The 26,260-nt window shown below is 48.7% G+C and overlaps 1 protein-coding gene and 1 pseudogene across 1 annotated transcript, besides 4 other annotated features; both read right to left on the reverse strand.

Annotated features, from left to right (window-relative positions):
• MRPS18CP6 (MRPS18C pseudogene 6) lies at positions 10,117-10,351 on the reverse strand (annotated as a pseudogene).
• On the reverse strand, positions 19,258-24,908 carry RTL6 (retrotransposon Gag like 6). Its single transcript, NM_032287.3, has 2 exons — positions 24,719-24,908; positions 19,258-24,486 (listed from the first exon to the last, which is right to left on the reverse strand). The coding sequence occupies exon 2, from the start codon at positions 24,229-24,231 to the stop codon at positions 23,512-23,514; it is 720 nt and encodes a 239-aa protein (NP_115663.2). The 5' UTR covers positions 24,232-24,486; positions 24,719-24,908; the 3' UTR covers positions 19,258-23,511.
• Positions 22,024-22,801: an enhancer, noted in NCBI's record as "H3K4me1 hESC enhancer chr22:44891229-44892006 (GRCh37/hg19 assembly coordinates)". NCBI's record gives its function as "activates a minimal SCP1, AML or CMV promoter by ChIP-STARR-seq in primed H9 embryonic stem cells {active_cell/tissue: H9 hESC(primed)}" and the evidence as "EXISTENCE:reporter gene assay evidence [ECO:0000049][PMID:30033119]".
• Positions 22,802-23,579: an enhancer, noted in NCBI's record as "H3K4me1 hESC enhancer chr22:44892007-44892784 (GRCh37/hg19 assembly coordinates)". NCBI's record gives its function as "activates a minimal SCP1, AML or CMV promoter by ChIP-STARR-seq in naive H9 embryonic stem cells {active_cell/tissue: H9 hESC(naive)}" and the evidence as "EXISTENCE:reporter gene assay evidence [ECO:0000049][PMID:30033119]".
• Positions 24,839-24,968: a silencer, noted in NCBI's record as "silent region_13867". NCBI's record gives its function as "represses an Ori minimal core promoter by ATAC-STARR-seq in GM12878 lymphoblastoid cells {active_cell/tissue: GM12878}" and the evidence as "EXISTENCE:reporter gene assay evidence [ECO:0000049][PMID:35858748]".
• Positions 25,059-25,118: a silencer, noted in NCBI's record as "silent region_13868". NCBI's record gives its function as "represses an Ori minimal core promoter by ATAC-STARR-seq in GM12878 lymphoblastoid cells {active_cell/tissue: GM12878}" and the evidence as "EXISTENCE:reporter gene assay evidence [ECO:0000049][PMID:35858748]".

The following is a 26,260-nucleotide window of genomic DNA, read 5'->3' on the forward strand; positions in this document are numbered from 1 at the left end:
GGGCCACATTCTTGAGGGTAGCAGAGTTCAAAGGGAGGGTTTCAGGATACTCACGGGACGTCAGAGCTCGCTGCCCACTGCTGCCTCAAGTCTCAAAAATGCTCCCTACATTTTTGTGCAGTGCTCCTTGGCCACCCCAGCCATAGCCCAAGTGGACCCAGATGTGGCTCAGGCTGCCACTCTAGAAGGCATAAGCAATAAGCCTTGGCAGTATCCACTTGGTGCTAACTTTGCAGGCAGAGCTCATGCACAGAGAGTGTATGAGCTGTGGATCCATGGCTACCTCAACCTAGATTTCAAAGGATATCTCAGAGAGCCTCGGGGCCCAGGCAGAGAAATGCTGCAGGGGCAGGACCACTGCAGAGTCCCCACTAGGGCAATGCCTAGTGAAGTCAGGGCCACCACGGAGAGCCCCTACTAGGCCAGAAGAAAGGGGCACCAGGGGAATGTCCAGTGGGGCCACGGGAGTGGGGCTGTTCTCGAGACCTCAGAACTGTGGAGCCATTGGAGTATGATCCCAGCCTGGGAGAGGGGCAGTCACCAAACTCCAACCCATGAGAGCTGCTGTGTGGACCACCCAGCAAAGCCATTAGGGAAGGGATCCCTGGAAACGTTAAAGGACCAACTCCCACCTAAGTGTCTAGAAGGCAGGACATGGAGTCAAAGAAGATTATTCTCAAAACTTTAAGTGATTTTTTTTTTTTTTTTAGAGACAGGGTCTCACTGTGTTGCCCAGGGTGGCCTTGGATTCCTAGATTCAAGCATTCCTCCCACCTTAACCTCTCCAAGTAGCTGAGACTGCAGGCACACACCACTGCACCCAGCTCAAGCTCTAAGGTTTAATGTTGTTTTCCTGTTGGGTTTTGGATTTACTTGAAACTTGTTACCCTTTTCTTCTTGCCTATTTCTCTCTTTTGGAATGGCAGTACCTATCCTATACTTCTCCCACCATTGTATCTTGGAAGCACATCACTTGTTTGATTTCAGTCTCACAGCTGTAGAGGAATTTGCCTACGGATGAATGGTACCTTGAGTCCCATCTGTATCTGAGTTAGATGATATTTACATGAGACTTTGGACTTAGACATTAAAGTTGATGCTAGAATGAGCTAAGAATCTTTGAGGCTGTTGGGATGGAATACATGTATTTTGTTTGTGCAAATAACATGAATTTTGGAGGCTAGGACAGAATGTTATGGTTTGAATGATGGTGTCCTCTCCAAAACTCACGCCCAGTGCAACAGTAAATTAAAAGGTGCAGCCTTTGGGAGGTGATTAAGACAGAAGGGTTCTATGCTCATGATTGGGATTAGCACCCTCTCTTGCCTTCTGTCTCTTCTGCCATGTGAGGCCACAGGGTTCCTCTCCTCTGGAGGATGCTGCAACAAGATGCCATTTTGGAAACCGACGGTAGCCCTCACCAGATATCAATCCTGCCGGCACCTGGATCTTGGACTTTCTAGCCTCCAGAACTGTGAGAAATAAATTTCTGTTCTTTACAAATTACCCAGTCTGTGGTATTCTGTTACAGGAGCAAAAATGGACTAAGAGACTTACCAACATTTGTTATTGTCTATCCTTTTGATGATAGCCATTCTGGCAGGTGTGAAGTAGCATCTCATTGTGATAATTTTTGCCTATATTTACCCACATATTTGCATTGTAGTCCTCTTTTTTGCTGCAAGTCTGACCTTTGTTGGGGTCATTTTCCTCATGCCAACAGAACACTTTCTAGTATTTTCTTTACATAGGTCTACCTACTATTGATGAATTTTCTTAGTTTTAGTCTGTCTGAAAATGTTTTTATTTCATCTTCATATTTCTATCTTTCTACTTTAAACTTTCTTCTAGTTATACTTGAAGTCAGTTGCTTCCAGATAGCATTTAGTTGGGTCATTTTTAAGATTTACTCCACCAACCTGTCTTTTCATTAGTGTATTAAGACTATTTACATTTAATGTAATTATTGATATTTCAGAGGTTAAGTTTGTCATTTTTTTCCTGTGTGTCTCCTCTAATTTTGTTTCTCTGTTTTTTTCTCTGCATCCCTGTGGAGCATTTGAACACTTTTTTAGGATTCCATTTTGATTTGTCTATAGTATATTCAAGTGTTCCTCTTTGTGTAGATTTTTTGTGGATGCTCTAGGCACTACAATATACATACATAACCTATGGTCTACTGGTGTCAACCTTTTATCAGTTAAAGTGAAATATAGAAACTTTACTTCCCTTGGAGTCCATTTACCCTCCCATTTAAAATATTATTTCCTAAATATTTCTTCTACATACATTGAGAACCATAGTGAATGATGTTATAAGTTTTGCTTCAATCCTTGAACACAGTTTAGGAAATTCAAGAAAAGAAAATTATATTGCATTCACTCATAGTTTTGCTCTTTCCCTTATTCTAGGTTCCTAATGTCCCAAGATTCCTTCTTTTATCATTTTTTTCTATTTCAAGAGCTTCCTATAGCCATTGTTTTATGGTAGGTATGTTGGCAATAAATTATTTTCATTTGTTTTCCTTTGAGAATGTCTTAATTGCCCCATCACTTCTAAAGGATATTTTTGCTAGGTATAAAATTATGGGTTGTGAATCCTTTCTTTCAAGAATCCAAAAATGTTGGACCGCATGGTTTCTGATGAGAAATCTAGTGATTTTCCTCTATAGGTAAGGTGTCATTTCTCTCTTGCTGGCCTCGAGATTTTTTCCTTTGTCTTTATTTTTCAGAAGTTTGACTATGATGTGTCTTGGCATGCATTTCTTTGGGTTTATTTTAGTTGAGATTCATTTAAGTTATTGAATTTGTAGGTTTGTGTCTTTTGCCAAATTTGGGAAATTTTCAGCTATATTTCTTTGAATACATTTTCAGCTCCACACTTTTTCTCCTCTCCTGAGACTCTGATGATATGGATGTTAGCTCTTTTGTTAATGGTCCCACAGGTCCTTGAGACTCTGTCCATTTTTTAAAAAGTCAATTTCTCTCTATTGTTCAAATTGTGTAATTTCTGTTGTTCTATTTTCAAATTCAGTGGTTATTCCTCAGTCCCTTCCATTGAGCTCATTCAATGAGGTTTTAAATTTTGGTTATTACTTTTTAGTTCTAAAATTTCCATTTGACTCTTCTTTATATCTTCTGTATCTTTGCCAGGATTTTCTATTTTCTCATTTGTTTCAAGCTTATTGAAAATTTCTTATGATACATGCTTTAAAATCCTTGTCAGATAACTTCACATCTGTGTCATTTCAGGGCTTGCATCCATTGATTGTCTTTTCTTTTTCAAGTTGAGATTTTCTTGTTTCTCAGAATGACAAATAATTTTCAATTGTGTTCCAGTCATTTGGGGCATTATGTTATGAGATTTCAGATCTTATTTAAATCTAATTTATCAGGCGGCCTATGACACTACACTAGTAGGGGAGTGGTACTGTCTCATTACTGCCAGATGGAGGTGGAAGTCTAGATTCTCACTCAGCTTCTCCAGCATCCCATGTGGGAGGAGGGTCTTGTTACCTGGTGTACCTTCATTTTTCTCACCTTCATCTTTCTAGGTATATAACTTTAGGTTGGCACTCATTTTTTTTAATAGTACCAAAACTATAATTTCTCTGTTTTTTTGTTTCTATTGCTGCCATGGAAAAAATAGCTGTCAGTTGCATTATTACTCCATGAAACTGGAGGTGATTGCAATTTGTTTCTACTCAACTCTCCCACCCCGCTCTCCACTCGTGACTGCATATAAGATTTCTCATTGTTATTCTAAATCTTCGTTTTGATTTTTCTAGGTGTGAATTTCTACTTATTTGTCTTGTTTGGGGTTCATTAAGTTCTTGAAATCCATGGATTTACATCTGCCATCAGTTAGAAAATTCTCAGCTATTATTTCTTCAAATGTTACTTCCACTCAATTCCCTCTCTCCTTTTCTTCTCCAATTACAAATTCATATACTCGCTATATTGTATATTTCTATTACCCTTCTGTTTTCCATCCTCTTATCCCTTAGAGTTTCATTCTGTGTTTTTTGTTTTTTGTTTTTTGAGACAGAGTCTCACTCTATTGCCCAGGCTGGAGTACAGTGGCACGACCTCGGCTCACTGCAACCTCTGCCTCTGGGTTCAAGTGATCCTCCTGTCTCAACCTCCCGAGTAGCTGGGATTACAGGCGTGCGCCATCATGTCCCACTAATTTTTGTATTTTTAGTAGAGAGGCGGTTTCGCCATGTTGGTCAGGCTAGTCTCAAACTCCTGACCTCGGGTGATCCATCCGCCTCGGCCTCCCAAAGTGCTAGGATTACAAGCATGAGTCACTGTGCCCAGCGCAGAGTTTCATTCTTAATGGTAAATTTTCAGTTCTCTCTTCAGCTATTAAAATCATCCATTGAATTCTTAATATTGGTTATTGGTTTTTTACTTCTAAAATTTGTGGTTGGTTCTTCCAATATGCTTGTTACTTTTTCTAGTTTCTAGTTCCTTGATTACATTTTTAAGCTCCACTTTTGTCCCCAAGAGCACACATAGTGATCATGTTGTCAAGACTGTGTCTTATAGTTCTACCATCTGAGATAACTGTGGATCTTTCCATTGTTGTCTTGGTTTTCATTCCTGCTCTCTTGCCTCCTTCTGTGCTGGTTGTCTTTGATTGTGCGGTGATGGACATTATGTCTGAAAAACTCTCTGTAGAAATAATCTACTGGGTACAATGGCTCACACCTATAATCCCAGCACTTTGGGAAGCTGAATCAGGAGGATTTCTTGAGCCCAGGACTTCACGACCAGCATGGGCAACACAGCAGAACCCTGTTGCTACAAAGAATTTACAAAATTATCCGGGCATGATGGCCCATGCTTGTAGTCTCAGCTACTTGGGAGGCTGAGGTGAAAGGATCACTGAGCCTGGGAGGTCAAGGCTGCAGTGAGTTGAGGCTGCAGTAACACTGCTCTCCAGCCTGGGTGACAGAGTGAGACCCTGTCTCCAAAATAATAATAATAATTTGAGGCCAAGATGACTTTATCTTCTTCCAGAGAGAATTTTCTTTCCTTCTCCAGGTGCTTGGGCATTCTAGATTTACCTTAATCCAGTTTCAGGGATTGAGATTTTTGGCACTACCCTGGTTACTGGAAGCTAAGCTATAGGACATGAAAGAGCTGGTTTTATTCCAATGTACTCTTTATACTTAATATACACCCTTTTGGAACCCAACCCTAAATATGGGGTCAGGGATGTCTGCCAGGGCCCCCAGCCTTGCTTGGCAGGCTCTGGACACCAGTGATTGTCCCCGTCACCCTGTGAGGCTGTCAAAAGTGCTGCCTGGCCTCTGACTTTCCTCTTCCAGATCAGCTAATGCTCTCTGGGGAGAAGGCGCCCCAAATGCAGGCTTCACCTTTCTGAATTTCCTTCTCGGATTTTACTCACTATCTCGTCACTCTTCGATGTTTCTAGGAAGATCTTAAAATCTTCTGTGCATCTGTTTCCTTATCTTCAGAGAAATGGTGGGTCTGAACTCTGTAGCCCGTCATCACTTGAAGGGCCACAAAGCGCGTCTCGCGAAATCCACCCCCTGCAGGAGCTCTGCCTGGTGACAGGGCTCAGGACCCCTCTGCTCTCAGTTCTGTCCTCACCTTCCCTCCTGGGGAATGTCTTTCCAGTGTATGGGTTTCCTAATTCCCTTCTTGTTTCTTCCCAATCACTCTTCTTCTACCAGGGGAAGCCTCTTCTCTCTCTGAACTTGGATTTTGAACAAAAGCCAGAAAGTGTTCCTGGGAATTTTCTGCCTCTTGCCCACCACACCCTTCCCTTCTACCTGTAACTAGAGAAGCCTGACTGAGCCAGACTCAGTGGGATTACATGGCTCACGCCTCTAATCCCAGCACTTTGGGGAGCTGAGGCAGGTGAATGGCCTGAGGTCAGGAGTTTGAGACCAGCCTGGCCAACATGGTGAAACCCCGTCTCTACTAAAAACACAAAAATTAGCTGGACATGGTGGTGGGTGCCTGTAATCCTAGCTACTTGGGAGGTTGAGGTAGGAGAATCCCTTGAACCCGAGAGGCGGAGGTTGCAGTGAGCCGAGATCGTGACACTGCACTCCAGCCTGGGTGAGAAAATTAGACTTCATTTCAAAAAAAAGAAAAAGAAAAAAAAAGAAGCTTGACTGCACAGTGCTCACCTGAGAGATAGGAGAAAAAATACATGATTAAAAAATGCTAATTAATGCTTTAACGATTACTCAGCCACACACATGTTAGACTTGCATGAGGGTCCATTTAAGGAAAGATAATGAGTAGAAGGCTACAATTCTGTTCTAAAAATGAGGAAAGCATGATCTTGGAGCCACACTGCTTGGGTTTGAATCTGGGCTCCACCCCTCACAGTCATTCACTTCCTATGTAACCCACTGGGCACTTCACACTGAGCCAAACACTTCCTGAGCATTTGCAATAAACCTCTTGAGTGAAGTGCTGTTATTACCCCCTCCTTTGAACTGTGTAACTTGAGCAGCCTACGTATTACAAACTCTGTAAACCATCAGAGGCTATACAGGAGTGTCATCACCACCATCATCACCATCACCATCATCACCACCATCACCATCATCATCATCACCATCATCACCATCATCAACATCACCATCATCACCATCATCACCATCATCATTATCATCATCGCCATCATCACCATCATCATTATCACCATAATCACCATCATCATCATCATTATGCTAGAAGAGACGTTTCTCAAACATCTGGATGATACCTGGACGTGGCAGACATGGATCCAAGATGATCTCAGATAGGTTTGGGGGAAAGAGAGAGAGAGAAGGAGAGAGAGACAGAGACAGAGACACAGAGAGACACGAGCGAAAACTGGCCATATCAAAAGTAACAATCGACCGTGTGGAATGCATTTCCCAGCATGAATTCTGAGGCATCTTAGGCCTAAAAGAAGACCAGAGAAGCGGCTGGGCGGGGTGGCTCATGTCTGTAATCCCAGCACTTTGGGAGGCCGAGGTGGGCGGATCACAAGGTCAGGAGTTCGAGACCATCCTGGCTAACACAGTGAAACCCCGTCTCTACTAAAAATACAAAATATTAGCCGGGCATGGTGGCGCCTGTAGTCCCAGGTACTTGGGAGGCTGAGCCAACAGAATGGCCTGAACTGGGGAGGCAGAGCTTGCAGTGAGCCGAGATCACGCCACTGCACTCCAGCCTGAGCAATAGCACAAGAATCTGTCTCAAAAAAAAAAAAAAAAGAAGACAGAGAAGCATATTCTAATTAACTAGTTTAAGAGGAACTTAAGCTAAATTTCCTTAGACATCCTAAATGGACATTGGCCCTTTTCACATTCTGAGAAAATTTCTCAGGAAAAAAAAAAAAAAAAAGAAGCAGGGAAATTTACTTAATCCATTACTTCCCAGGTTTCATTGCTGTGGAACACGGTTTCTTACTGACACCGGTGACAATCTAAGAAGCGTATTTTGTAATGTGTAAATTAAAATGTGGCTCCTTCCTCACTTATTAGGAGCTGCTGGCATTGGAAGAAGAAATGGTGAAACTGTAATGAGAAATTAATGAATAAGAAAGAAAACTGAGAGAATACTTTAAACCAACAGCTGATGCTTTAAAAATAAATAAGTTCAACAGTTAGTCTCTGACAAATCTAATCAATAAAAAAAAGAAAACAGATTAAATTAAGCAGAAGAAAGAGGGTGTGATCAATGCAGAGAGGATTCTCAAAGCCTGAGATGAAACTACGCACGGTTCTATGCTGATCAATTAGAAAATCTCCATGAAATGGACAGGTTTCTGTTCCCTCCCCAAATGATTAAAGCAGAAGTAGCTTATCTGGGAAAAAAATGCTATTTCCCATCTCTGGTACCCAGTGCCAGAAATTCCAGTCAATTAGACTTAATAAGTTGAGGGAGTGAGCTTCCTCAAGCAGGAGAGACAGACACTCTTATCTGCCAAGGACATGTTTATCTAGCTAGATCATGAATAATTGAGAAGTAGAGTCACAGGAAAAAAGGACAAAACCCAGCACGAGTCAGATAGAGACTGTCAAGGTAAATGTGATAAAATTAAACTAAGTAGCTATAACAAGAGATGTATAAGACCTGTTTGAAGGAAAATACAAAACTTGATTGTGGAACAGGGTTGAAACTGGAAGGAGACAAATGTCAGAGAGCACTTCCTCTCCACAGTGACCCTGCAGTTGCACAGCCACATGAGTGTGTACAACCTTCAACGGAGCATGTGTATTTACATGCAGTGCGATCTTCCCTTGGTATCTGCAGGGTTGGTTCCAGGACACACCTCCACCCCCACAGAATCTGAAGATGCTCAGGTCCCTTACTTAATGGTGCAGTATTTGCATATAACTGACACACACCCTCCAGTATACTTTAAATCATCTCTAGATTACTTATAATACCTGATGCCATGTCAATGCTATGTAAATAGTTGTTATACTGTATTGCTTTTTTTTTTTTTTTCTTGAGACAGAGTCCCGCCCAGGCTGGAGTGCAGTGGCGCGATCTCGGCTCACTGCAAACTCCGCCTCCAGGGTTCACGCCATTCTCCTGCCTCAGCCTCCCGAGTAGCTGGGACTACAGGCACCCACCACCACGCCCGGCTAATTTTTTGTATTTTTAGTAGAGACGGGGTTTCACCGTGTTAGTCAGGATGGTCTCAAACTCCTGACCTCGTGATCCACCTGTCTCGGCCTCCCAAAGTGCTAGGATTACAGGCATGAGCCACCGCGACTGGCCTTTTTTTTTTTTTTTTTTTTTTTGAGAGAGTCTCTCTCTGTCACCCAGGCTGGAGTGCAGTGGTGTGATCTCAGCTGACTGCAACCTCCACCTTCTGGGTTCAAGGGATCCTCCTGCCTCAGCCTCCCAAGTAGCTGGGATTACAGGCACCCACCACCACACTCAACTAATATTTTGTATTTTTAGTAGAGACGGGGTTTCACCACGTTGGCCAGGCTGGTCTCAAACTCCTGACCTCAAGTGATGCACCTGCCTTGGCCTCCCAAAGTGCTGGGATTACAGGCGTGAGCCACCGTGCCCAGCCTCTTAATTGTTTTTAAAAAGTCAGCTGAGGCTTAGCATGTAGAAAGCCACAAAAGAACACCACTCCTAACCTAACGGTGAGTAAAGGTACAAAACTGGAATTTTTCTTGAGCCCATGAGAGAGCTAAGATTACAAGGAAGTAAATTCCAAATAGTGCCCAGCCCCATCGAGGAGAGATAAGACAAGGCACATGAATTGTGGCGCTGTTAGCAGAGCATGAGAAAACATAGGGCTGCTGGAAAGACAGAAAAGGAGCAAATGGCTAAAATAGTAACAAATTCCTATGGGCTGAATATGGGATACTGTGACCCTCTGGAATAAGTGGGAATCCAGACCCTAGCGGAGGTCATCTCAGTCCCCTACAAACTCTTTCCCTCCTCTGAGTGCTCACTGGGAATATTGGAGACAGGCAGGACAGCATCAAAAGCTGCCACTTCTTTGATGCACAAACATGAAAAACAACACCTTTTCCCAGACCCTTCACTTATATAAAACAAGAGCTCCAGGCCACTGGGGGAAGGGCAGGAAATCCTCCCAAGGCCCACAAAGATCCATAGCTTCTGGGGAATAGAAACAAAAGATAGTTTTCATCTTAAGAAACTTGAGGGCCAGGCGCAGTGGCTTATGCCTGTAATCCCGGCACTTTGAGAGGCCGAGGTGGGTGAATCATCTGAGGTCAGGAATTTGAGACCAGCCTGGCCAAAATGGTGAAACCCCATCTCTACTAAAAATACAGAAATTAGCCAAGCATGATGGTTTGCACCTGTAATCCCAGCTACTTGGGAGGCTGAGGCAGGAGAATCACTTGAACCCGGGAGGTAGAGGTTGCAGTGAGCCGAGATCGCACCATTGCACTCTAGCTTGGGCGACAAGAGCAAAACTCCGTCTCAAAAAAAAAAGAAAGAAAATAAATGAAATTTGAGGCTGGGCGTGATGGCTCACACCTGTAATCCCAGCACTTCGGGAGGCCTGGGTGTGAGGATTGCTTAAGGCCAGGAGTTTGAGATCAACCTGGGCAACACAGCAAGACCCCATCTGAATTTTTTTTAACTGTAAAATAAGTTTATTGGTGGTAACGTGATAGAATTTATTCCCAACATCTGATATTACAAACTTTAGGGTCCTTGAGATATGCAGATCCTTGTATGTAACTGGCATAAATCCCATTATTTGAGCTCTCTTAATTGCTTCTGTGATTTCTTTCTGTTTCTTCCCACAAAGACCTATAATGTACCTTCCATAAATGCCTCCAGTAAATGGAGAAATAAAGTGGGACAAGAGCTGTACATTCTTATCATCTACACGCTTTCCACACAAGATACAATTCTTTTTTTCTTTTTTCTGTTTGAGACAGAGTCTTGCCCTTGTCACCCAGGCTGGAGTGCAGTGCATTATTTGAGTTGTTTTTCTCATTCAGATACAAAAGTTTCTTCTAGATGGCTCGGGGTAGCTGGCATGCTAAGGGTACTTCGCTCTCACACTCCACTCTCCATGCCCTAAAAGCTCCCTCAGCACTGACGGCACCAGTGTCTTCTCTTCTTTTCCTATTTAATAGCTTTGTTGTTTGTGATTTTCATAATTTAAGTGAATTATGTGTAACGAGTTTATTGAGGAACCTCAACTTGTTGAGACTATAAATAGACGCAATTTTATTTCTTGCCAACTCCAATCCATATGGGATCTGTTGAAGCTCTCTTTCCTGCTAGGTAGGAGGTCCCTTAATGACATCTTGGCCAGATTCCAAGGTTTTCTTCTCATTTTCTTTTTTTTTTTTTTTTTTTTTTTTTTTGTTGAAAAGGAGTCTCGCTCTGTCTCCCAGGCTGGAGTGCAGTGGCGTGATCTCTGCTCACTGCAAGCTCCACCTCCCGGGTTCCAGCCATTCTCCTGCCTCAGCCTCCCCAGTAGCTGGGACTACAGGCGCCCGCCACCACGCCCAGCTAATTTTTTTTGTATTTTTTAGTAGAGACAGGGTTTCACCGTGTTAGCCAGGATGGTCTCGATCTCCTGACCTCGTGATCCGCCCGCCTCGGCCTCCCAAAGTGCTGGGATTACAGGGGTGAGCCACCGCGCCCAGCTGGTTTTCTTTTCATTTTCGTCTTTAGAACAGCCTCTTGGTGTTTAAGACTAAGCCCTGTCTATTTCTAAAGAATGTTCAGCTCAAACACAATTCAAGACTTGTGGCCAGAGTTCTCTGTGGCTCTTGCGGCTTGGAGGAGCGGGAAAGGGCCCCTCTGGACTCAACGAAACTGTTTGCCTCACCAGGCTGTGTTTATTCACGTGTTGGGATGGCTCAGAGAGGGCGCAGGGAGAGGGCCCTGGCAGGGTGGTGGCCTCTCCCACTTTCCCATCCACCGCTGAGCATGAGAAGATGTCGGCTCCCACCTGGGCCCTCCCAGGTGGCTCTGGTCCATGATTTCACCTGGCCTCCTCTCCTGGCTGGCCCTGGCTGGTGGTGGTCACACCGCAGTGCTCTGATGCATGAATTCTTGTGTGCTCCCCACCATGGGGATCCCACAACACCGTGGTTCCCTGTCTCATCCACCTTCCTGGGGCAGCAGGCAACTGGAGGGTGGGGATCCAGCTTCCATAGATTCTGGAAAAGGAAACTAAAGGGGTTGATGCTGGCTCCCCTTGAATGAGAAACCTCCTCTCCCTCTGAGTCCCTTAACCCATGGTTCATGGGATGAAGGCAGGTGGGGAGTCCACTGGCCAACCAGACATGACCAGAATGCACTTGTCCCCATCTCAGAGGTGCCTTCAACCTACATGAAGTTCTCAAAGCCCACTCTCCCCTAGCTTTCTCCTATGAAGGAGAAAACAGTACTTACCACCAAGCCTCCATGGTAGCCCCCGGACAGATCACTCCCACAGTCCCATCTTCTGCACGTAAGGACTCACACCTGGTGTTTTTTGGGGGGTTTTGGTTTCTGAAATTTTTTTTTTTTTTTGAGACGGAGTCTCACTCTGTCACCCAGGCTGAAGTGCAGTGGCGTGATCTCGGCTCACTGCAATGTCCGCCTCCAAGGTTCAGGTGATTCTCCTGCCTCAGCCTCCCGAGTAGGTGGGATTACAGGCACCTGCCACCATATCTGGCTAATTTTTGTATTTTTAGTAGAGACAGGGTTTCTCCATGTTGGCCAGGCTGGTCTCGAACTCCTGGCCTCAAGTGATCCACCCACTTCAGCCTCGCTAAGTGCTGGGATTACAGGCATGAGCCATCGTGCCTGGCCAGAGCTGGTGCTTCTTTCCCTTTCAGGGGATGTCCACAGTGTGTGCTCCTGAGCAGTTGGAAGTCTTCCTCCAGCCAGTAACTTGGGGGCCCAGGCCTCCTCATTGCATGAACCTGCTGCCTTCACAGCCTATTTCCAAGGTCACCCTGTCCATCAGCTTGAATCCAGCCAGTGAGAGGGACAGGATCCCCACCTACATTCCATTGGCATGTTAGTCTAAGCATTGAGCCGCAGCTTGTCGTTGAGGGGGCAGAGAGATGTCATTGAGCTTTTTGCCCAGGAAGAAGAGAAAACGAGATCAATAAAGAACCAGCCCATCTATGCAACATTTGGGTTCTGGGAGAATGGCAGGTCTAGGAATTCCCTTCAAGTGTGGTAGCTGATGGTCCGTGGGCAGCTCTCCAGGTTCAGAATACAGCCTGTTTACTGCATTGCATTCTCAGCTTCGGGGCTTCGTTATCATCTGGGGCCAACAGAAAAAGCCCAGTTCAATATCCTGCTATATGTGTATAACTAGAAAACACATCGCTTTTCTTGAAAGGTGGGCGGAGGCTTTGGCAGGTGTCCTGTGACGAAGACAGCTCTCGGAGAGCCACAGGTAAGTCACATGGGTTCTGCTGTTTTTGAAAATGCTGTGACCTGATCTGAGGGAGTTGGCAGTTTCTACTCATTATTTTGTTGTTGTGGTGGTGGCGGTGGTGGTGGTGGTATTGCTTGGTGTGTAAACCATCAGGTTTCTGTGAGCACAGCAACATTTGAAATCCAGAAGCTTTGGAACACACGGAAGGACCACTGAAAGACGTGGTGAAGTGGTACCGCCCAGTGCACCAGGGCAAAGACCACAGAGCGAGGCTGGTGATGGGGCACAGGACTGGCCAGGGAAGCCCACTCAGAGCGTGAGCCAGCTCCCCAGCCTCCCGGCACCCATAAGCCTGCCCAGGCACGAGGAGTTCCCTTCACAGGCTGGGGCAGATGAAGAACAGGATGAGGAAGGGGGAAAGCAGCCACAGTTCCACAGAGGAAGGTGCGTGGTTCCCTCCCCCCGGGCCCACAGCAGAGCCCTCTGGACACCAAGCTGAACAGGCCAGCTCAGGGCATCAGCAGGCTGGCTGCATGAGTCACCAGCAGTGATAACCAGCAGGGCAGTGCAAGCCTGCAGGGACCTCCTGCTGACCTCCACTGACGCTGTGAGAGAAGAAAATAAAATGACAAAATATCACAGTCACAAAAATACCATTATGTCCAAGAGATACGGAAAATAACTTTACAATTTATAAAAATACTGAGATTTCAGGCCAGGCATGGTGGCTCATGCCTGTAATCCCAACACTTTGGGAGGCCGAGGCAGGTGGATCATCTGAGGTCAAGAGTTTAAGACCAGCCTGGCCAACATGGCGAAACCCTGTCTCTACTAAAAATACAAAAATTAGCTGGGCGCGGTGGCAGGCACCTGTAATCCCAGCTACTTGGGAGGCAAAGCCAGGAGAACCACTTGAATCCGGGAGGCGGAGGTTGCAGTGAGCCAAGATTGTGCCATTGCACTCCAGCCTGGGAGACAGAGTAAGACTCTGTCTCAAAAAAAAAAAAAAAAATTGAGATTTCAGGATGTGATGGTTTCTTCGTTTGGGCTGCTATAACAAGGTACCACAGACTGGGTGGCTTGAGCCACAAACATTTACTTCTCACAGTCCTGAAGGCTGGGAGGTTCAAGATCAAGGTGATGACAGATTCAGTGTCTGGTGAGACCTGCTTCCAGGTTGCAGGCCGATGACCAATTGTCCTCTTGCTGTATCTATTCGTGAGGGTGCTACCCGCATGACCTCACTGCCTCCCAAAGGCCCACCTCCTAAGGCCATCCCATTGGAGGCTAGGATTTCAACACACAAATATTGAGGGGATACAAAGATTCAGTCCACTGCAGGTGACATCATTGAAAATAGTACCTTGGGCCAGGCGTGGTGGCTCATGCCTGTAATCCCAGCACTTTAGGAGGCCCAGGCGGGCAGATCACCTGAGATCAGGAGTTTGAGACGAGCCTGGCCAACATGGAGAAACCCCGTGTCTACTAAAAATACAAAGACTAGCTGGGTGTGGTGGCACGCACCTGTAGTCCCAGCTACACAGGAGGCTGAGACAGGAGAATTGCTTGAACCCAGGAGGCGGAGGTTGCAGTGAGCCAAGATTATGCTACTGCAAGAATCTTCCTCTATGTGGTCTGGTGACTGTCGCAATGCTATTTTGTCCTACGTGCTTTGTTTGTTTCTGCAGCTGTCTCCTGCAGGGCATCTCTCCTTCCTGGACTGGGGTCTGTGTGTCTATGTGTTGTGGTTCCCTGGTTGTATCCACCCTGGTCCTCCAGGGCACACAGGGTGAAGAAGCTCTGTCTTCAGAGCACTGTGCACACCACTCGTGCCATGCAGGATGCACCCTGGACTCATGTCAATGACTAGCTTCTGTCCCTGGCCATGGGGGACCATTTTCTGGCCACAAATCCTGGCAAGATTTCCAGCCCCCACCCATGGGCAGACGGCACGTGGTTCCCAGTTATCGCTTGCATTTTAGTTTCGGGGAGATGTTTTCACTTCTGGTCCATAGAAATGTCCTTTCATTATTTTCAAATGCTCCATTCATACAGCTCTTGTGTGTGTCTGTGTGTGTGGTGTTATTGATGTTTTCACTTCGAGTGCATGGACTTGAAGAGGGAGGTTTCTGTATAAACTCAATCTTGACCTAGAAAATTGTCTTCAGCACTCCAAGCCGATTTTCTCATCTGTCAAGTGGGGCTGTTATGAGGATGAACTGAGATAGACTCATCAGCAAGTAGCACAGTCGACCACAGAGGGAACACCCATGGAGCCCATCGAGTCTGCTTTCTGTTAGTGCTGGGAGCAGGACGAGGGTGTCACCCATCAGTCCCGGCAACAGCAGTGCTGGGGAAGTTCCACAAGTGACCTAAGAGGAGGTACAGGCGACAGTCTAAATAAGGAAACAGCTGGGCACAGCAGCTCACACCTGTAATTCCAGCACCTTAGGAGCCTGAGGCAGGTGGATTGTTTGAGCCCAGGAATTCCAGACCAGCCTGGACAACATAGTAAGAGTCCATCTCTACAAAAAATTTTTGAAAAGGGAAAGGAAAAGGAAAAGGAAAAGGAAAGGGGAAAGGAAAGGAAAGGAGGAAAGGGGAGGGAAGAGGAGGGGAGGGGAGAGGAGAGGAGGGGAGGGGAAAGGAGAGGAGAGGAGGGGAGAGGAGGGGAGGGGAAAGGAGGGGAGAGGAGGGGAGGGGAAAGGAGAGAAGAGGAGGGCAGGGGAGAAAGGGGAGGGAGGGAGGGAGGGAGGGAGGGAGGGAGGAAGGAAGGAAGGAAGGAAGGAAGGAAGGAAGGAAGGAAGGAAAGAATTGTTACCAGTAACCTTCCCTGGAGATCTGCCTGTGGGAAGGCTATGGAAAATGCTCTCAGGATGGACACCTGTGGGACGTGAGGCCAAGGACTGGCACTGGGGATGTCTGCAGTCTCTGTGAGTCCCACGGAGAGCTCTGGAGCCGGCTGACCCTGCACGGTAGTCCCGCGTCCCCCAGGCCCGGGGTGAGCATTGCCACAGAAAAGAGGCTCACATGGCCTCGGGTGAGGTGGCACCTTTGCTCGAGGGCAAGGTTCAGAAGGGACCCCAGCTGACCGCTCTCGCAGCCAGCACTCCCAGCAGCAGGGGAGCAGACCCTTTAGTCTTGGAAGGAAACCCAGACGGCCCAAGGCATCCATGGCAAGGGCAGATGATCGCAGTTAATTGGAAACTCTGCTGATTCTGGTGGAAACCCAGTCAGTCCGTGGAATCAACTGAAACATCCCTCAAACGACTACACGTTCAGCGAAGCAGCCAAATAAAAACACAGCATTAATCTTTCGTACGTATCAGCAACGATCTCTTAGTAACTATGAAGGAAGCCTGTGAGACTCGCCATAGGATCATATCGACAACAGAAAACTACGCCCAAGGAATCGTTTAGTGACTAGGATGCTTCTCACAGCATTGTTCACTATGACGAAAATTGTCAACACATTTCTAAAGGAAAGGGATCATTTGGGTGAAGCATGGCCAGTCCAGAGATGGGATATTTACTTACAAATCCTATTTTCAAAGACCATGTCATGACCTTGGCAAGTTCTCATCACATATTAAGCATGTAGAATATTGTCCCATTCTGTAAGAAAGGAAAGTAAACAGGACAACACAGGAGTGCGGCTGGCTGGGGTTTCTGGCTCAGCTTGGTGGCCAGCTGCGATGTGACTGGTTGGCGTGACGTGGACCCGAGACTCCGGCTGTGCTCTGATGTGTGGTCCTTCTGCTCAACCGCTAAACAGACACCTGGTCGCTTCTCCGCCAGGCTCTGGGTGAGGTGCTACGGACGCAGGTGACTCACACAGCAGCCCTGCCCTCTGGGAGCACAGTCGGTTGGGGGAGACAGATAGGCTCAGTAAGGCATAAGTCTATCACTTACTAGGTGTGAGCCTGAGGGTGTCAGGGCAGGAGCACAGCCTGGTTGCTCAGGGAGTGTCCTAAGTGGAGTAACACTGGATCCTTCTTAACAGAACGATAAGAGCAGGAGAAAGGAGGCGGTTAGCGAGGCTGGCTGCCCAGACCTGCAGCGGGCAGTGGTAGTGGGGACAGAGAGCCCGGCTGACCTGACAGTCGCTGAGGACCACGAGGTCCAGGCACTGGAGCAGGTGCAGGAGAGAGGAGTAAGTCAAGGAAGATGCCCAGACGCTAAGCTGGGGATGCCCTGGATAGAGAAGGGGAGGCTCCCCAGAAAATCTCCAGGGCAACAGGATGGAATTTCACCAGGCTGGGCCCATGGGAGCACAAAGTGAGAGCAAGTGTCACAGAGCCAGAGAGTAGAGGCCCAGCTCCAACCCATAATCTGTTCTCTTGCCTCGAAGGGGCCAGACAGTGGGATGGGGAGGGGGCTCAGCCCTAGATCTCCCTGTCAGGCAGAGTCCTTGCAAGGCCAGTCTTTGTAAACCTCTCGGATCAGCCACGTGGGGACAGGCAGGAGGGCACTATGTACACTCCAGGCCTTTCCATAGAAGAAGACACTGACTAGACAACAGGCTAGCCAGAGGGCACCCTGATTTTCACTCCCATTCCCAAACGAGCCACCCGTCACAGAGCAGCACATGGGGGAAACCTCAGGGCAAGGCTTTCTGCAGGGTGGAAGGAGAGCCTTCCCTTCTACTCTGCAGCCCACAACCACAGAGCCCCTACACAGAGCCCCCCACGCTGCACCCTGCACACAGCTCCCCAAAGTGCTTATGCCTCTCCAGGCCCTCACCTGTTACCAGGGTTTTGGGGAAACCATAGAATGTTTTCAAGTTCATCTAGTAACAACAGCTAAGAAAATCTGAAGGGGGAGAGTCCTACTATATGTGAATAGAAATTATAAAACCTGGCCAGGCATAGTGGCTCATGCCTATAATCCCAGCACTTTGGGAGTCTGAGGCGGGTGGATCACCTGAGGTCAGGAGTTTGAGACCAGCCTGGCCAACATGGCAAAACCCTGTCTCTACTAAAAATACAAAAAAAAAAAAAAAAATTAACTAGGAGTGATGACTGGTGCCTGTAATCCCAGCTACTCGGGGGCCTGAGGCAGGAGAATCGCTTGAACCCAGGAGGCAGAAGTTGCAGTGAGCCGAGATCATACCACTGGACTCCAGCCTGGGCGACAGAGACTCCGTCTCAGAAAAAAAAAAAAAAAAAAAAATTATAAAACCCAAGTCAGCTAAAATAGGGAAGTACTGGGCAAGACAAATGGATCAACTGAATAAACAGTGGGAAAGTTGGTCCTACGGTAGATAAGATTTCCCTGCGTGTGAAGGAAAGAACACACGTGACCAAGGGAGAGAAATACTTATTAATAACTGGACTCAGGGTATTTAAATCTTTGAAAGACAGTCTATTTAGAGCCTCCTCTCACATTACATGCCAAATTAATCCCAGAAATAACTGTGTATTAATCTAGAGGGGGAAGAAAGACCTGAAGTTTAAAGCGATGGAACAGTTGGTGATGTTCTCCAAACTGCCAATCCTTGTCTCTCTTTAGGCCAGCAGTTCTCAAAGAGGGGCAAGACGCTTTCGGGGGTCCACAAAATTGTTTTCATAATAATCCCAAAATATCATGTGCCTTTTCCGCGTCATCTCATGGGCGCAGTGGGGCTTTCAGAGGCACCATGGCATGTGCTCTTGCAGGTTAAGCACAGCAGGTAGGAGGCTCCCACTGTCTTCCATTCAGCCAGACATTACAGGCATTTGCAAAAATGTCTTCGTCAATGCCTCTCCTCACAAGCGTTTTGTTTTGGAAAATATAGTTTTTTTTATTTAAAATGTTGTTTAACAGTGTTTTTATTTTCCAAATAATTATTTTAAAATTCTGTTTAAATGTATAATATGGTAAATATTGATAGAGAAAACCTATATAAGCAAAAGCTGTTTGAGGCCCTCAATGAGTTCTTATAGTGCAAGGGGACCCTGAGACAAAATGTGTGAGAGCCTCGGCCTGCGAGCTCTGGAGTGTGAGAGCCTCGGCCTGCGAGCTCTGGAGTGTGAGAGCCTCGGCCTGTGAGCTGGAGCGCGGACTGCTGGATCCATGTGTGGATCCCAATGTGTTGCAGATCCATCAGAGTAACTAACTCAACAAACGTGTACTGAGTGCTTATCACGTGCCGTGGATCCCAAGGCGTTGCAGATCCACTGGAGTAACTAATTCAACAGAAGTGTACTGAGTACCTATCACGTGCCAGGCATTGTCATAGGTGCTAGTGCTACGGCCATGAACAAAACAGACAAAATCCACCTGCCTGCCTTGTGTTCTTGTCTAGCAGACACAGTGCTGTGGAGACAGATCGACTATGTATGTCAAAATTCCAATAAGATAAAACACACAAAAACCCAGAAACAGCTGTAGCAAATATGACACACACCAGGTTAATATCTTTAATATATACCGAGCTCATACAAATTTATCTGACCCCAGAAGATAGAGCAAAGGACACTGACAATCCACAAAGGAGGAAATACAATCGCTCCACATGAAAGATGTTCAACCGTGCTAGAAGTCAGTGAAATGCCAACTGAAACACGATGCTATTTTTTCATTATCAAATTAGCAAATATTTAGCCAGATGATAATTCCCAATACGGGCAAGATGGACATGTTTATCCTTGCTGGTGGCAGTGTAAGGGGATACAAATATTTCCGGAAACCATTTTGTCAATATGTAGTAAAAGCCTCAAAGGTTTTCATATTCTTTAGTTGAAGAATCCCACCTCCTGGAGTCTACCCTAATAACTTGACATTGGGAAACAGCCTGTGCACAAAGATATTCATCAATTTATAACTGAAAAGTTAGTAACAGCATTAGTGATTGGCAACTGGCACAATGGTCCATCTAGTCAATGGGAGAGTACACAGCCACTCCAAAATAAAATATTTAGTAATCATAAGGGGAGATGCCCACGATATGCTAAGTGAAAACAGCTGCACAAAACTGTATCATTACAGAAGACAGCAACAAAACTATGTTAAAACAAAAAGCAAAGAAACCATAGTTGGGGGGGAAAGCCTGAGAGACACCAAAATGTGATGTTTTATTTCCTTCTTTCCTCTACTTGCAAAAATTTATCTAACATGTGGTTTACATGGGTAATGAGAAGACCTAGTAGGTTTGGTGCTTGTGTATGCAAAGGCATGAGGCACACGGAAGTGAGGAGCTGGGTTTCCTCCCATCTCTACCGCATCTGCGCTGTGCCAACTGCCACCCCACCCAAACTCAGGTCCCCAAGAGACAGAGACACAGGGGCTGTCTGTTCCACGTGGAAGGCCCTACACCCCAACCTTCTCCCCTACTCTGGGGAGCTTCTCCTGTTGGCCCAACAGTCTGCTCTTGCTTCCCTTACCCAGGAGACCCACCTTGTGCCTACCTCTCTAAGTCCCTAAACCAGTGCTTTCCAAGCAGAGGTGCCATGAGCCTTACAACTGTGGTTGCAGATGGAGGCGCCTCCATTAGGATCTCTTCCCTCTTCCACCCAGAGCTCTGCCCCCAGTCAGTGGCTGCAGCATGGGCCCTTTTGTCCAATCCCAGGGCTTGTTCCCTAAGTCAACCTCAGCACATGCCCAGCTCAGCCATGTCCCTTCACTCCCCTACAGGCTGGAACTGCCAGGGTGGTGCCCACCCAAGGCGGCTGTCTGCCATGACAACAGGAGCGTGTGCGTCAGGCTGGTCCTGCCGCACTTTCTGGGTTTTGTTTTCCACTCCTCCTCATTGCTCATCACATACTTACCTGGGGACAATGAAATAGGTCTTTGCTATTCCCTAGAAGTCACCAAAATGCTTTAGGACATTAAGTTAGTCCCAGGGTCACACTATACTAGGCCAGGGAGTCACCCCTTCACTAACTCCCATCTCCAGTGATACCCTGGTATGCACTGAAGCCTACTTACCAAAGGGGTACCATGTGGACCAGACAGCAGTCACAATACAGTCCAAAGAATGTCAAAACCATGGAAAACAGAACTTTCCTTCACATGCACTGTTGAACACTACTGCCTGTCCCTTTTATCAATCAATACCCGTTCTCCTAAAATTTAGAGAAATTATAACCCCAAAATATGTACAAAGCATCTCCCTTCCCCCACTTTCTTAGCCTGATCCCCTATCACTGAGGTCTCCCTCTGGGGCTGCGCCTCATCCTCCTTAGCTGGAGACTAACGTATCTTCCACTAGAGCCACCATGGGGTCCTCACCTCTCCAATGTGGGCTTCTTCCAAGTCCAAGGTGGAGGGCAAGCCCCGACCCTCTCTCATCTGCTCCGTGTTCCAAAGTGCAGGGAGCTATCAAGAAGGTCCTAAGTGCATACCAGCACTCGTCCCAAGCCCACACACATAAGCACCAAGAGAAAAAACACAAATCACCATGCCAAACAAAGGTGGAGCAGCTGCTTGGATTGGGTGCCCATAGGCAGAGGGCCCGGCTGCAGTTGTGGACAGGGAGTGTGTGGACAGGGAGTGTGTGGACAGGGAGTGTGTGGACAGGGAGCGTGGCCGGCCTTTCCTAGGCAGCTGTAGGATGTGAAGCAGCACAGGCCTGACACAGACATGGTAGGGCTTTCAAAAAGCCACTCGAGTAGAGTGAGCGCTGGCGACACAGCAGAGTTCCCACCCTGCTTCCATGCTGGGCTGGGCCACATGGAAACCTTCCAGGTGCCTTTTCCCAGGTGCCACTGTACCCCTTCACTTGGGGGCACCTCTCCCTGGCAGGTACTAGTCTTACCAATATAGCTGCTGGAGACAGAACAGAACTGAGCACAAAGAGAAAGTGATCTGTACACCTCCCATTCATGGAATGGTGGCCCTGCTGTGTGTCTTCCCTCCGATCACGCTTAAAGAGCACCATGGTCCCACCTGAACAGCCTTGGCTGGAGTCCAGGGGAACCTAAAGCCTGTATTCAGGCAGTTGTTCAGCAGGGCAATTGGGCTAACAGAGTTGATGGTGAGTGGGTGGCAGTAGTCTGCGGACCCCAGCAACCACTGAATGTCCTTGACCTTGCAAGGCAGCGGTTCTTCAGAATCGCAGTCACTTTTCCCAGCATCATCAAAACTCTTAAGAAGCCAGGCCCAAGGACCCAATCTCTGGGATCCCAAGACATATACATGTCTTTAGGTGGGTGCGGAGGTTGTCCTTCTGCAATCAAGCCAAGACCCTTCAGACAGGGGCAGCTGAGCCCAGGATAGGAAGCCCTATGGTCCAGGTCATGTCAATGTGGTTCATTTGGCATTGAAATATGGCGGAACAGCACAGTCCAAAGGGCGTGGCCAAACTCAGCCACAAAATGATTTCTTGGTCATCCCCCTGTGAGGAAGGATGAGGTCCTTCAGAAGGAGGACATGCATGCCAGTGCTGCATTGTCACCACACTAGGACCACGGCAGTCCACAGCTCTTTGCTTTTACAAATGCCACCAAGACCCTGGCTGGGTTGCCAGAGGCAGACACCCCCCCCGGCCTTAAGTGCTTAAGGATGTTTCCCGAAGGGAGTCTGTTTTCCCTTGGACAAAGGCAGCCCATCTGATTGCCCAGGCACGGGGAGTACATGCTACAAGGTGCCTTTGGAGACCCACAGATGGTGCGTGGGTGGCTGCAGGGCTGCAGTGAAGGCCACATGGCACCTGAATAGAGATGGGAACAGGTCTCAAGCTGGGCAAGGCTCGCCATCAGTGACAGGGGGTAGAAGCAGGAGTGACTGAGCATCAGCCGCTGTGGCACTGCCCATGGAGATCCTGGGCAGCAAAGGGAGTCGCTGGTATCCACCCTTAGCCTGCTATGACCCTCAGGCGTGGGTGTGTAGGAACCTGCAGCCTGATAGACCTGCCCAATGGCTGAGAGTCCACCACGACCTTATTTAGCAGGCAAGTTCCAGATTCCCCAAGCCTCTGGCTCCATCAGAACACCAGCAGCTGAAGTCAGGCATTAACAGAGGTGCAACATTGGTCCTTCCCAGTGAGAGCAGTGGGGCCTCCCAGACTGCATATTCATGTGCAGAGTGGAACCTGGCCCCCAGACATGGCAGAACTACGCTCCTTGCAGCAACCACTCGACCACTACAGCACAGATGAGGCCCTGCCCGCTGCACCGGGCCCTGGCAGGGCTGGGAGGCATCTTGGGCAGGAAGCCAGACCCCCTCTCCAGGTACACCCATCAAGCCACCAGCCTGGCCAAACGGGCATCTTTCTGTCCAGAGCTCATCAATAGGAACTGGGCAACCAGGTGGGGAGCCGCCAGGGGAGCTTGGAGAGGGCAGAGTAGGAGCCTCCATGAACCAAGTCAGGCTGGAAGGGGTCAGCCCTCGTGGTCCGTCAGCGTGCGGCGGAGTCCCTGTGCCTAAGTAGCAGAGCGGTAGTCATTGAAACAGGCCGGGATGCCAGCAAGAGGGAGGCGAGCATGCAGTGAGCGATAGGTACAAAGCTAGCACGTAAGAGGAAGCACGGCAAGGTGGGCAACCAGGGCGCCAGGAAGGACGGAAGGAAGATCTCCTCGGGGAACACGTCTGGAGAGGCAAGAAGGGAGGTCTTCAAACAGGGGCAAAGCTGTCGTATGGGCATTTCTTCTACACAGCAAAGAGCGTATGCTACCTGGGTGGCTGCAGACGCTACCAAGTGCTGGCGGATTCTTAAAGATTCCGTGCTCGGGCAGGCAGGGCTGGCGCTGGACTAGTCCCGTTGGAAGCTGGATGCACTGGGCAAGGCCCCGTGCCCGCAGAGGCCAGCTGGCGGCAGAGCATCTGCCTCTCTCGCACAGCCCTATTAGAGGCAGAAGTCTTCCTGATTTGGGCGCGCCGCGCATGCCGGAGCGGAGACTTGTAGGTTCTCCGCAACTCTGCCAGGAACCCCTGATAGTTGTTGCGCAAGGGGCTGTCAGGTTGCATGTGGGGGATAGCCCACTTCTCCGCCTCCCCAGTCAGTCGAGACACAAGGAAGGCCACACGCTCGGCCTCACCCGGGAAGCGGGAGGCCTGGAAGATCATGAATCTGTCCATCTGCATCAGGAACCCCGCCAACCGGCCTGGGTCCCCGGAAAAGGGCTCGGGCAGAGAGGTTGGAGGTGTGGTCATGGGTCGAGTCCCGTTTGAAGTAATTGAGGAGATGGGCGGGGTGATCTGCAGAGCCCCCGGGATCCGCGCCCTGGTGCGTAACAAGGTCAGCTCTGCCATCACGCTCTCCAGCATGTTGGTGAGATTGGCCTTCTCCGCCCGCAGGGTGGAAGCCTCCCGCCTCAGCGCCGAGTTGGTGAGGCGCAGGGAGGTCAGGGTGTCAATAACGTCATCCATCTGGGCATTCGGAGACGCTGCCAAGGCTGGGCTTTCAGCTTTGGACGTCTGCGGCTGCACCATGCTGGCCAGAGGTCAGCCACACGCTGAGATCCGCGGGTGGACCAAGAGGGTGTGGTGACCAGGTGGGCCCCTGTAGAAATGGGGGCAGTGTGGGGTGCACGACGGCAGGGCGCTGCGAGACCCCCAAGCCGAGGGCCCGAGAGAGGGGCACGCGGTGCCAGGCCCTAGGGACTTCGGCCCCGGTCCCACGCGGCTCCTTTACTGCAGACTTCGCGGACTACGGAGCCAGACGGGTGGCTGGACCTGCTCTGGGCCCTGGAGGATTAAGAAAAGATGTTTTCAAGGTTTCAGTTGCGACTAGCGGGCAGGAGGGTGAGGGGCGGCGTGGAGGGCCCGCGCGTGGGTGGCGAGGCTGCACAAAGCCCCGCGGCGCCCGCCCCGCGCCCGCCCGGGGGAGAACAAAGGGGGCTGCTCCTTGGCGGCCGCGGGCCTGGGGGCCACCACAGTGGCGGGGCCCGGCCGGGCAGGGGGCCGGGGGCACGCGTACCTGGGGTCTCGCGGTTCCTCCGCGGCTCTGTCCGCCGCCGGCCGTGACCAAGATGGCCCGCGCGGGGGACGCGGCCAGGCCGATGAATCACCGCGCGGACCGCCGAGAACTGCTTCCCGGTCAGCGCAGCCAAGCGACGGCGCTGGCGATGGCGGCGGGCGGCCTCCGGCAGGTGCAGGGACCGGGCCAGGCCGGGGCCGGGGCAGGGGCGGGGCCGGGGTCGCGGCAGAGGGCGGGTCACCGCGCGGCCTTTGTGCGGGCGGGGCCGGCGCGGTGGCGGTGGCGGGCGGGCCTTAGGCTGGCCCCGCTGGTTGCCATGGATACCGACCGCTCCCGCGCGTGCGGAGACGACCGCTGCCCCGCCCCCGGAAGTGATGCACAAAGTCCCACCCCCCCCCACCCCCCAACTCGGGCTGCTGCCAATCGGGGAAGACTGTAGTTGCTGCGGCGTCTTCATCAGGGCGGGTACCTGGTGTTCTCCCAGTCATTCCTCCCAAGAGGGCTTGCAAGGCTCTTTCTGTGGTTGTCATTGGGTTTATTTTTTTGATGATTTACTGTTCTTCTTATTTTTTTTTTTTTTTGAGACGGAGTCTCGCTCTGTCGCCTAGGCTGGAGTGCAGTGGCGCGATCCTGAGTCACTGCAACCTCCGCCTCCCGGGTTCAAGCGATTCTTCTGCCTCAGCCACCCAAGTAACTGGGATTACAGGCGCGTGCTACCATGCCCGGCTAATTTTTGTATTTTTAGTAGAGACGGGGTTTCACCTTGTTGGCCTGGCCAGTCTCCAACTCCTGACCTCAGGGCATCCGCCTGCCTTGGCCTCCCAAAGTTCTGGGATTACAGGCGTGAGCCACTGCATCAGGCCCTTATTGTGATTTGAATATAAATTTAATGTAACAAATCTTGATGTAAGAGAAGTAAAAAAAACTTTATACTACTCAGACTCCCTCCACCTAAAGATAGCAAATAGTAATACATATATATGTAACGTAGAGATAGTAATATTTCTGTACTTCCATCCAGTCATTTTTCTATGATATGTTCTACAAAATATTTTTTACCTTATGAATATTTTGTAACCATAACAGCACATTGAATTTTGAGCATTTTCCTATTAAAGATAGTTCAGAAGCATGATTTTCAGTTATTGCCTGTGGTCCATGGAACTCCTGTACCGCAAAGTATTTAGCCATGCCCTTTTTGATAGATCCTTATCTTGTTTACCATGCTAAAGTTTTATAAACTACACTTGTATATAAATCCCCACCCTTTTCTCTGCTGGGTTCCCCAGAGTAAATACCAAGGAGTGAAGATACCTGGCTGATATGGTTTGGCTGTGTCTCCACCCAAATCTCATCTTGAGTCGTAACTCCCACAATTCCCACATCGTGGGAGGAACCTGGTGGAAGGTGATCGAATTATGTGGGCAGGTCTTTTCTGCACTCTTCTTGTGATAGTGAGTGAGTCTCAAGAGATCTGATGGTTTTAAAAAGGGAAGTTTCCGGCCGGGCACAATGGCTCACGTCTGTACTCCCAGCACTTTG

Source organism: Homo sapiens, chromosome 22 (genome assembly GCF_000001405.40).
Source record: "Homo sapiens chromosome 22, GRCh38.p14 Primary Assembly".
Lineage (NCBI taxonomy): Eukaryota > Metazoa > Chordata > Mammalia > Primates > Hominidae > Homo > Homo sapiens.